We start from the raw sequence: 13,260 nt of genomic DNA on the forward strand, positions 1-13,260 counted from the left end.
TTTAAAGAAAGTCTAGATTCTTCAGCTGGCACTCCAGGCTGGCTGTTTCTTACTTTATTTTTTTTTTCTTACTTTAAATGTACAGATGTTTCCCCCACACCTGTACCCCAAACTTTTCAATTTCTTTGCTTTTGTTCATGTTGCTCCTGTTTATGACCAAAACTTTCCTTCCCACATTTCATTCTCTCTTCTATATTGGTGTAATCATCAGTTTTCTGGTGTTAAACTAAAATAATACTTTTTCATGTTCTGCTTTTCGTCCTATAGACTTTCTCTTGGACTAAGCTACTTATAAGCATACTTGTTCTTGATTCTTCATACACAACTTATAGTTTGCCTTTTGCTTTTATTACTCCCAACTCAATTATCATATTAAGTGCTTTTAACCTTATCTTTTCTTAATTTGTAATTTTTTGCCAATAGCAATTTTACTTGGTAACCCTATTCTCACTTCTTTCCTGACATTCCCAATATTTAAATTAATCTTTTCAACATTATGGCCTCTTGAGGGCAAGCATTCTACCCAGGGCTTAGACTCCTATTGAGTTGGTGTATTCTATTTCTACTTGTCAAAATTCTGCTATAATTAAACACCGTAATCAAGAGTTTTATTTTTCATAAAGCCTATTAGAATGTCCCTAATATAGGTGATGAATCTTTCTGATGTTTCATAACTCATTTATGCCACTTACTGTATGCTACCAAATATTATGGTTGATGACATATATCTTATAGAAACTACTTGAATATAATACCACAGAGCAGATATTTATTTTAGTTTTTTATACACCTCACAATCCCTGGTTCAAAAACTTGCACAGATGTTTTTATAGATAATTATTTGATAATTTCATGCATTTATCAAGTACCTATTAAAGAATATACAGCCATTTTTAACTAACAAAAAAGAAAATTCATTGATCTCTTATCTGTCTTAAGATATAAGTGTAGAATAGGACATTTTCTGTTAATTAAACCTGTGGAAATACATTGAAGACTACTCTACAATAAATAGTTCTGAAGTTTTGTTTTTTTCTCATGCATACATGTATAAAGACTATCAGACACATAGATGTTTCATTTATTATATTTTAAAATGAGCCTAAATTTTAATAAGTAAAACACTCAAATTTAAGCTTGCTTATTCTACAATTTATTTGATATTTAAAGAATTGCTGCCATAAAAGTATGAAATCAATACCAAGAATAAAAGAAAATCTAATTTCATTACAACTAAATTGCACAAAAATGAAATCTGAGGAGAAAACACGGGTTGAGGTACACTGCAATGACCTAAAGCAATAATTTTTCAATAATTAATATGACTTTACATATATGTGGAATGCTATTTATAAATTATGTTTAGAAATATTTACTTGATCTTCAATAACAAAAAACCCTTAGTGTAGTTTTAAAATTTGTAATGATCACTGCAATAAATAGACCCACAAGTAGTCCTTTTGTATTTCTTGCTGTTTTTCAACTACATCCTTAACTTCTGACAGGAAGTTATTAAAAAGTACATTTTTAATCAGCTTCACAGTTTTCAGAATACTGCTCTTTTAGATTGCTTTGTATTTACATTTTAATTTTTTAAAAAAGCTACCAAGCAACCCCAGCTTCTAATATTTCTCCTCTTCTCCTTTTTTCTTCCTCCTCAATTATTTAGCAGTGTTTGGGCTTCGTTTAGAGATGTAATCTCAGTCTACCCAAAGGGGAAATGCCTAAGCTAAAGTTTGTTCAGGATTCTTTTTTCCTGAACTCAATAAACTTTAAATCTTTTACTTGAACAATTTTCAAATCCATTTGTCAATTAATTTACATTTACTTATCCCTTCCTTTCTCTAAAAATATGATAACATAAATATTGGGTGTATTATGCATAGACTCTTACTATAATTTCTTAATCAAAAAGTCTTTGCTTAAAGCAGAAAAAGGATCAAGATGTTTTTGTAACTCCTATCACCTTATTTCACTTTCCAGTGAAAATATCACAGGAAATAGAGAGGGATTAAGTTTTTAAAAAACTCCCTGGTTTTAAAACTTTAATAATATTTACTGCCCATCTGTGGAATTTCTAAACTGAAATAAAGCCAGTAGACATCTTCCTATGGTGACATGGTGCATAAGGCATAAAGTTACTGACTATATGATTCTGCTTTGTCTTAAAGGAAGTATAAGATATAAATATTTGAAATTTTTGTTCATTTTTCTTAAGATAGAACAAGATGTTGTCTTGAATGTGACATTTTTTTCAAATAGGAAAGGTGACTTTTTTTTCATCTAGGAAAAGTAAGTTTAATTTTCATAGGATTAATTTTAGTGCTAGACCCCAACATATCCTATCTTTATGAAAAAAAGGCAGCACGAATCCCAAGGGGGATATCACTGTTTGGAAAAAGGAGAGACTGGAGAATTTCAAATTTTGCATAGTGTTTAACTCTGTCCCTTTCCACACCAGGAAGATTCTTTTCCTAGGAGACCTACATGATGGGACTCACTTCTCCATTACTGAACTTCTTGTTTTTTATTCCTGTTAGGAAGCAAGAACCTAAAAGAGGGGATGTGAACGATTAAGGCAAAGAAAGTTTCCATTCTCAGTACCTAGGGAGTGAATAATCCCATAGTTTCTAAGCACAGAAAAGATTAGAAGTACTGTCGCTATGGTATAACTGCACAGAATAAATGCCCCAAATACAAATTAAAGAATTTCACTGAAAATTAGTAATCAGGTTTGTATCTGGTTCAAAATATTAAATAAAAATCAACATCTGAGAGACTTGTGGCAATACCTTTCAACAGTAATTTATAAATTAGGAATTGTGCAACATACAGGTAATCTCTTATTAGATATGTAGAAAACAAAACACCGAGTTAATAGGTTTTCTAAAAAAAATCTGTTCAGATTGAAAACAACTTCATCAATGAACGCCTCAGGATATTTGAGAATAAATGTATAAACATATTTTGTCTCTCTTTTTACTTTTAACTTTTCTGTTGTTCTAGGAAGAAACTTCTGAAAAAATATCTTTAGATATAAGGAAAAATAAACATCTTTATAGTTTTATAGAATTGATAGAAACAAAATCAAAATGTTATCTCAAACATAAGTTTTCCAACTTTTTAATTATTTGGGCTGGTTAAAGAGAAACGTTCTGGATGGACTAAGTGTTCTCATGTAAAGTGGCGTAACGTTATCGTCTCACATCTGATGCTATTTTCACTGTCCTGTTACTCCTGGTGTCTAGCTCCTACTCTTTTTTCAGCCTTATCATATAGAAACTGTAGACTGGAACCACTTTTAAATGATCTCTTTGGATGCCTGAACAGCAGGGAAGATTGTTCTTCATTTGTAACAAGAAACTCAATCATTTCTGGGTTCCAATTAGAGAAAGCCTAGGGGGCCCTCTTTATTAAGATGAAACACAAATTGTATCAAGACTTGCTAAACCACTTAATATTTTTATGGTGATATTAAGAAGCTTGAACATTTTAAATACTAATTGGGAATATGTGTAGGCTATTTTTAATCTATGCATAAACTCTAACCTCTATTTCATTAAATTTGCATCTTATGATGCTATTTTGCCACCTTGAAGATTTATCACAGAGACTAGGATCAAGAATTCTTGAAGGATTTAGATCAGTGTCAGCAAAGACTTACACAACTATATCCTCCTGTTAACCAATTTTGTAGATGCTGTTGTTATTTCCTTTGAGGAAGTTTTTTTTTTTTTTTGAAAAATTTTGTTTTAAAATACAGATTGGCAACTTGAATACTTTATCTAGATCTTTACATTTCTATGTAAACAATTTAAAAAGACATATCTGAATTTAACTACATATTTACAGAGCCATTTGCTTTAAGATGAGACAAAAAAGCTTATAAACAGAACTAGGAAAAAATCATGACAGTTTAGATTTTGGGGGGTAATTTTGAGTATACGGAAGTGTATAAATACATGCATACAATTTTCTCTGTATGTTTAAAAGTTCAAACATCAAGAAAAGGTTGCCTCCTAAGATACTAAATTACTTCCTTTGAGTAGTATTATAAAGATGAATTCTCTAAACCCCAAAGTATCACCAGTATAACTTCTATTTTAATATGGGTCTTATGTGACTTTGTGGAAAGGGCAAGATTTCTACATTGCTACAAATCATAGTTTTATTTTATCATTTTTTGCTGCTTCAAGAGATGTTAACGATGTACATAGCACAAGACAATCTAGCCTGTTATAAAATAAGAATTGGTAAATTCAAATAGCAGTTAAAAGATTTAGGATAAATGAAGCATGTTGAGAACTATTAATAATTTGGCTTTTATTAAGGATACTAGGGGAGTGATTTGTCTATCTAATTGAACGATACATATTATTATATTTTTCCAATATATTATATTTTTCCAATATTTTATATACCTAGTTTCTTCACTTGTTATCATATAATGCTCTTTCAGAATTTTCATAGATATAGATCTGATAAAATTATCCTCCCTTTTTGTTTTTTATCTTCCTGAAGACAGAAAAAAACAAACTGTTTACTACTTTCTACTTACACATTTACTACAACACTTCATCTCTGACCACCAAAATGTGTGTTACCAACAATCAGTTTCCCCCACCAACAATCAGTTTTTCATGAGACACCAACTGGGTGTCATGTAATTCAATTCATGTATACGTCAGACTGCAGATTGAGGTCTCAGTCCCACAAGATTGCCTCCCATTTCAGATGCCACTCACATGCACTAGGCTGTTACCTGTACTTCTGACCAACTGCCTACAAACCATGATTTCCGTGACTTCCTTCTTGGGTGTTGTTAATTTGGTGGGATAGCTCACAGAACTCAGGGAAACACTTTGCTTATTTTCACTCATTAATTATAAAGAATATGACACAAAACTATCAAAACCCTAGGAGAAAACCTAGGCAATAACATAGGCATGGTCAAAGAGTTCATGATGAAAACGCCAAAAGCGATTGCAACAAAAGCCAAAATTGACAAATGGGATCTAATTAAAGTAAAGAGCTTCTTTCTGCACAGCAAAAAATACTATCATCAGAGTGAACAGGAAACCTACAGAATGGGAGAAAATTTTTGCAATCTACCCATCTGACAAAGGTCTAATATTTAGAATCTACAAGGAGCTTAAACCAATTTACAAGATAAAAAACAACAACCCCATCTGAAAGTGGGCAAAGGATATGAACAGGCACTTCTCAAAAGGAGACATTTATGCAGCCAACAAACATACAAAAAAAAGTTCAACATCACTGATCATTAGAGAAATGAAAATCAAAACCACAATGAGGTACCATCTCACACCAGTCAGAATGGCGATTATTAAAAAGTCAAGAAGCAATAGATGCTGGCAAGGCTGTGGAGAAATAGGAACGCTTTTATACTGTTGGTGGGAATGTAAATTAGTTCAACCATTGTGGCAGGCACTGTGGTGATTTCTCAAGGATCTAGAACCAGAAACACCATTTAACCCAGCAATCCCATTACTGGATATATACATAAAGGAATATAAATCGTTCTAATATAAAGACACAAATTCCTCAAGGATCTATAACCAGAAATACCATTCGACCCAGCAATCCCATTATTGGGTATATACCCAAAGGAATATAAATCATTCTAATGTAAAGACACATGCACACATACGTTTATTGCAGCACTGTTTACAATAGCAAAGACTTGGAACCAGCACAAATGCCCATCAATGATAGACTGGATGAGGAAAATGTGGCATATATACACCATGGAATACTATGCAGCCATAAAAAGGAGTGAGATCATGTCCTTTGCAGGGATATGAATAAAGCTGGAAGCCATCATCCTCAGCAAACTAATACAAGAACAGAAAACCAAACACTTCATGTTCTCACTCATAAGTGGGAGTTGAACAATGAGAACACATGGACACAGGAAGGGGAACAACACAAACTGGAGCCTGTTGCAGGGTTGGGGGTGAGGGGAGGGAACCTAGATGATGGGTTGATGGATGCAGGAAAACACCATGGTACAAGTATACCTACGTAACAAGCCTGCATGTTCTACACATGTTTCGTGGAACTTAAATTAAAAAAATCTATATCTATATCTATATATCTATATATCTATATCTATATATCTATATAGCTATATCTATATCTTTATATCTGTATATCTATATCTATATAGCTATATAGCTGTATATCTTTATCTATCTATCTCTCTCTCTCTCTCTCTCTCTGTCTCACAAAGGCAACTGATGAACAGCGAGATGAGGAGATGGATAGGGCAAGGTATGCAGGAAGAGGAGAGGAGCTTCCATGGCCTCTCCTGGCATGCTTCCATCTTGGACCTTCTGCATGCTCTGCAATACAGAAGCTCTCCAAACCCTGCCCTTTTAGGTTTTATGGGGGCTTCATTAGGTAGGCATAATTGGTTATATCAGTGACCATTGATGATCATCTAACCTTCAGTCACCTCAGCTCCCTGGAGGTTGAAAGGAAAGTGGGACTGAAAGTTCCAACCTGTATTTACCCAGTAAGCTGCCCAGGAGCCCACCAGAAACTTCTGATTAGAACATCTCATAGGAGCATCTCAGAGCAAAAGATTCTCCTATCATGCCCAAGGGACTTAGAAGCTCTGTGTCAGAGTCTACTATCACTCAGGAAATTACAGTCATGCACCATATAACAACACTTTGATCAATGATGCACCATATATAGGATAGTGGTCTCAAACTATTATAATACTGTATTTTTACTATACATTTTCCATGTCTATACACTCAAATACTTACCATTGTGTTACAATTTGTTCCAGTATTCAGAGCAGTAACATGATGTACAAGTTTATAGCATAATCAATAGGCTATAGCATATTACCTAGGTGTGTAGTAGGCTGTGCCATCTAGGTTTGTGTAAATGTAGTCTATGGTGTTTGTATAATGACAAAATCACTTAATAACACATTTCTCAGGCTATATCCTCATAGTTAAGTAGCATATGACTGTATAAACGTCTTAGGAGTTTCTTGCCAGGAAACTCTTGCAAGGGTAAGAAGCTAAGTAGAACAAAAATTTCTGCTATCACCACTATCTATTGGGGCTTCAGGAGCACTATGTTAGGAGCTGGGGGAGAAGACAAAATACATATTTCTTATATTACAAGATCACACTCTCCAAGTGTTGTCAGTACTTAAACACTTGATCAGTTCCATTAACACTGCCAATCTTCTTGTTTTGATATTGTTTACAATATTTGTTATTATTTTTCACAACTTTTATCCCTTCTACAAAATTTTGTTAGAATGGTATATATCCTTCCTCTTAGAAAGGATGCCATACCCATAGACATCACTTACTCAGTGCCTCTGTTCTAATTGTGTTCACAATAACATAAAATAAATTCAATATTTCTATCAAATTTAACAAAGCTTTTGAGAAAATGATTCCATGTGATAAAATTATGCTGAAATTAGAAAACTTTCCATACTAAGCCTAGAAAAATATTCATCATGTTAGAAAGCAGGAGGTACTAGATGAAGCATCAACTATAGAGGAAGACCAGGGTTTGAATACTTCTCTCATCTATATTCTTATATGCAGCACATTTTAAAAAGTGATATTCATCAAAGTGTTCTTTTGAGAATTACAGAAAATAAATGTAAATTACCTAGGATAACAACTAGCAGATGGTAATAGATATTATTAACAACTATTTCTATCATTAATTATTACAGAAGACTGAAATTTTTGAAGAGGGGAATCTATGGTTCATTTATCCTTCTTTTCTAAAAGCATATTTTGAGATAGGGCTCCTTTGCAGGAATTTTGTTAAAAGAAAACTCACAGTAAAAACCTCTAAAAGAATGAGAAAAGCAGCAGAGGTGAAATGGAAAAGATTCAGGTGGTTTCAAGCAAAGCTGTGCCACAAGGGTGGCTCTAAGTGCAAAGATTTTTATCTTTTTTATATTTATTTTATGTTTTATATTCTTATTTTATATGTATTTGTATGTATGAATATGAATACTTATATATTTAATATTATTTATTATAATAAGTATTATTTAGTATTCATTATTATTATATATATTTATACTCATATTTTATATACATATTTATAAAAATTATATATTTATATATAAATATAAATATTTATATTTACTTATATCCAAATACATCTGAGGAAGATTTGCCCCAATAGCCTAAGGGTAGTCTTCCAATGTGGGGTGTGAGCCATTAGCAGCAGAATCTGGGCCACACGACTTGAGCAGGGGACCAGAAATGACTGCTACTGGGACTCAACAAATTAGTCTCTGAATACATATCTGCTTAGTTAAATAGAATAGAAGCAGATTATATTTGCTATACCTCCGACTCTTTTGAGTGAGTGTGTGATGGTCCTTTTGGTATCTTATAGAAGTTAGCATATGGTTGTGTACAAAATACATGTTAAATATTAAAAAATTGATTTACTAAATTTACACATATTTAACATTTCTTATTTTTGCTATCTACATGCATGTTTCAATCCAATAGGCCAGAACCTGTTTTGTGGACAAAGGATGGCGGAGAATTACCAGATCCTGACCGAATGGTTGTGAGTGGTAGGGAGCTAAACATTCTTTTCCTGAACAAAACGGATAATGGTACATATCGATGTGAAGCCACAAACACCATTGGCCAAAGCAGTGCGGAATATGTTCTCATTGTGCATGGTGAGTAAATTTTGGAAAACATTATATGTGAAAGGATGCATAACTTGAAAAACTATTTAAATATATCAGAATTTTAAGTGCAGTGAACAAAATTATATGGTTTCTTTTTACTTCAGGACATCTTATGAGATATTTAATTATGAGATATTATATTTAATATTAATATATTCCCAGTCAGACTGATAAAATTGTAACATACATAAAATTTTTTTTTGTAAAAAGCTTTCTCAATTATAAATATACTTCTTACATGTTGGCTCGTAAACTATATTAATGATTGTCTTTATTTTATTTTTTATTTTTTTTGGAGACAGAGTCTTGCTCTGTTGCCCAGGCTGGAGTGCAGTGGCATGATCTCAGCTCATTGCAGTCTCCACCTCCCGGGTTCAAGCAATTCTCGTGCTTCACCTCCTGAGTAGCTGGGATTACAGGCATGCACCACTATATTTTTAGTAGAGATGGGCTTTCGCCATGTTCACCAGGCTTACCTCGAACTCCTGGCTTCAAGTTATCAGCCTGCCTCGGCTTCCCAAAATGCTGGAATTACAGGTGTGAGCCATCACACCCGGCTGATTGTCTTTAAATTCTATAAATAAATGTGTTCACTTATAATCCAGAATCATGAAAATTACATTTCCTTTAAGCTAATTTTTATTGTATTATCATAAACATATACTTTATAACTTCTGTAATTTGGTTTCACAAAGAATGACAGTGTCATTGAAATGCAGCAAAAATGGGAGTGTACAATATTAGCAATAACTGCATCAATTTCACTGAACAATAATTTAAAGTTCCTACAGACTTTTTCTTGACTCTATTTACCTCACAATTTGAGTAAATATAACAAAATCACAGAAAGAAATACCAGTCGCCATGAGTGAATAAAATTTCTGTTTTTTCCAACTTTCAAATGCCACAATGGGTTTTTCATAAGGTAGCTTCTTTTAGATATTGTTAGATGGAGATGAATTTTTACGAGATTGATGAATATTGCAATAAACAAAATTAGTCAGGTTTCTTTACTACAGTACTTCCCAGACTTTATTGTATATGTCAGGGTGCATTGCGAATCTCCACTAGGAAGAGCCATTAGCCAATGTAAGATTTTCATCATATTTCACCAAGAAAACTTTTCTGGGACTAGTATTATATTCAACATAATATTACAGTATACTAAATGAGTGTTATACATAACACAGTGCTGTCATAAATCGTGGATCTTAGAAACTATGGACAAAATATGTTTATTTGATATCTTTCCCTTGAATGCATTTATGGAATACTAAAAGACATATGTGTTTGTTCCATACCTTTCCAAAAAGAAATTTGGGGGTCTAGTATATTTCTTTGTAAAGAGATTAATTTTAGAGAGAAATTAATCTAACAAGTGTTATTTTTCCCAGGTATTCATTTTGTTCATTTTGCCAAAGTTGGAAAAAATTAATATGTTCAGTCAATATACAGTTTTCCTATTTTCAAGTTGCATTATTGTATAAAATCTCTCAGTACTTAATACTGCTTTGCTATGGTAAGCAACGAAAGGCTCACAATGAATAGGCTATTCATGTAAAACATCTAGAAAATAGTAGAACTAACAGTTGAATTTCTAGCACTTCATGAATTGTACAAAATTCAACTTTGGAAAAATTAGCCTAATCCAATTAGACTGATAAATTGTATTTAAATGTGGTAATCCCTGTAGACAGACCCTGCTGGCCTTTCTGCCAGAGAGAATGTTACAACCACTGGGTGTGTCAGGAAGGTAAGTGAGATCCTTAGAGCAGGATCCAAGAGTAGATTTCAGTTGATGCTCCCTGGATGTTTAGATCATGCAGTCATGTAAGGAAAGTGTAGTCTATCTGATTCACCTTAATTTTCCAAGTGCTTCTCTCACCTAACAGTTTCTGAGCACCTGGGGATATGTTGTATAGCATGTCACATTGTGTCAAAAGCAATATGACATAAAATATTGAGAATTAGAAGAGAAGTGACAGAAAAAATAATATACCTAAATGAAAAGTATATCATTTTTTTAAAGTAGCTCATCAGGAAAATTCGTATATTTTTTCAGTGCTTGCAAGCTAGCCAACAGCATGATTTCCTAAATAGCCAAGCTACCTTTAGGTAGTTGGCAGTTGATGTATTTCTAATAAATACTTCCCTAAGCACTTTGTGAGAAGTCATTTTTGGCTTTGCTTTTTGAACTACAATTCATCAAAAGCATCCCATAGATTAATGCTATTCATGCTGCTAGATAAATGCTGTGAAGTTCAACAGTGGTTTACCTAGGATTATTGACACAAGTAATGAGAGGCTCGATGAAACAGTGAAACCATATTATGCTGTGTTTAAAAGGGGCGCCAATTGGGTTCATGGCAAAATAAAGGTTTTTTCCCCTTTGCACGCTGGGTATAATGTTTCATTAGTCACTAGTTGTATAAATATAAAAAGCTACTCTCTTCTTTTAATGGTTTGGCTGTTTCAAAACCTTACTAAATGATGAAATTTGAGTGGCATTTCGATCTATAATGAATGCTGTATGCATTTTTGGAATGGAGTGATAAGTGATCATTTGTGAGAACTTTACCCTTTTATCTTTTACACCAAGGTTGATTTTACGTTAGTGGTGATAATTTAATATAGCTCTAGTACAGAGGATTTTTCACGAGCTGAGACCCGTGTCTTTGACTCTACCACAATTGCTTAGATTCTATTGATTCTTAACTTGATGGAGTTCTGAGCACTTTCCTGTGAAATCATCTACTATCTGGATGCCGTCATAATAGTTAGATTTTATTGTTTGGGTGTCAGTGCATTATTTAAGTGCACTATTAAGCATTATTAAGCATTATTTAAATGCTACCACATTTAATTGTTAAAACCACTGACATTTTGTGTTAGAAACACTGGTGATTCCCCCACTCCCTCCTAATTACACCTTTAAAATTTTCAGCATTAGGATCACATGTAGTAATTTAACTGCCAGTCTAAAATTTATCCTCAATGAAAGGCCTACCCAGAGTCACCATACTAATACCTGTAAGATTAAACATCTTGCTTAAGAAACATTTGCACTGTGAAGGTTCCATTAAGAAAGAAAGTAGCACATTTTATGAACAAGCTTGGCAATGGAAAAATTTATCTGTTAAATTGGTAGCCATAATTATACTAATTAATTCCTCTGAGCACAGTAGTTTCTATTTTCTTCTTTATAAAAATGTTGAAGTATATCTCTTGTGATTATTGTGGTCATACTATTTATTTATTTACAATGGATGATTATATCCATAGTTTTAATGGCTTTGAATATCTTGACCCATTGCTATTCTTAACATGTGAAGAACTAGGATCAAGATAAAAACTAATTCACTCACCCAATAGATATATAGTACTTATCTACCAGGTACAAAGGAGCAAAGATAAATAACAAACAAGAAGATTATAGTTTAATGTGGAATATAAGCTAAGCATTTAGATAATTGTGACACAAAATAGAAGAGTTATAGGGAGCTATAGTAAGATGGTCATACAATGTGGCAGATGTTCACACTTTGTGTAGTTCCAACTGTATGGAATGTTTAAAAATACTAACATATAACTATTATTTATAAATATTATAAATATAAATAATCATAATAAATATTTAAATATAAATATTATGATAAATATTATTACAAATTAATAAATTCATTTATAATATGACATACTTTGTAAATGGAATTACTCAGCAAAGTGCCAGTTATACAGATATATAATAAATTAGACTATTCTTACTCTTATATTTCTAGTAGTCTTATTATACCAAGGACAATCAAACTCCAAGGGTCTGGTAAGAAACTTGCCCATGAGTTGCATACAGTTATTGCTCATAATCTTCCCTGAAAGCTACCGGAACATAAATTAGGTTAACGCTATTGAAAAATGAGAAAACTCTAATTTTTTTCTATGAGATAGAAAATGTCTTAAAATCTCAACAATGTTAACACATTGACCATGTACAAAGCAAGACATAAGTTATAGTCACCCTTGTTCTCTAATGCAACATTAAGTTCAGAAAATATAGGTTGAATATCTTGTCTTCAAGCAGAAACTACCCGAATGTGCATCCATTCACTATAGAGAACATAACAGATGATACCATTTTATCATGCAAGGTATGGATCTAGGGAATGACCAATGGTATTATGCTAATTCTGTTTTGTGATTGGAAGCAATGCATACTCTTCTATTTATCATCAATTGATTAAAAATACACTCATAAAAGTGACAGAAATGTACAGGACCTGGAAAGCTTTGAGAAAGAACATCTACGGAAAGTGAGAAACGCAAATTACCACATTCCCCAAACCCTAAACTTCTTCCCTCTTAACCTTCCCAGTGTCTCTTTTACCTCCCTTTAAACTCATTAGAGAAATTAATAACCACTGCTCAAAATACAAATGGGAAATGGACAGATATGCTGCAACTCTTTAATATCACCTCCATTCTCAAAGCCTCCCTCAGGATCTGGGAAGAAATACAGTAATACCAGCAGAAAAAAT

At 32.8% G+C, this 13,260-nt stretch overlaps 1 protein-coding gene across 17 annotated transcripts in view; it reads left to right on the forward strand.

The window, feature by feature from the left end:
* Positions 1 to 13,260, forward strand: part of CADM2 (cell adhesion molecule 2) — a 1,115,441-nt gene that overhangs the window by 993,943 nt on the left and 108,238 nt on the right. For all 17 annotated transcript variants that reach the window (NM_001375961.1, NM_001375960.1, NM_001167675.2 and 14 more), the window contains one exon: positions 8,538 to 8,716. In NM_001375961.1, the coding sequence (NP_001362890.1) occupies positions 8,538 to 8,716 (179 nt within the window). The remainder of the gene's footprint in view (positions 1 to 8,537; positions 8,717 to 13,260) is intronic.

The sequence above is a fragment of the Homo sapiens genome, chromosome 3 (assembly GCF_000001405.40).
Source record: "Homo sapiens chromosome 3, GRCh38.p14 Primary Assembly".
Lineage (NCBI taxonomy): Eukaryota > Metazoa > Chordata > Mammalia > Primates > Hominidae > Homo > Homo sapiens.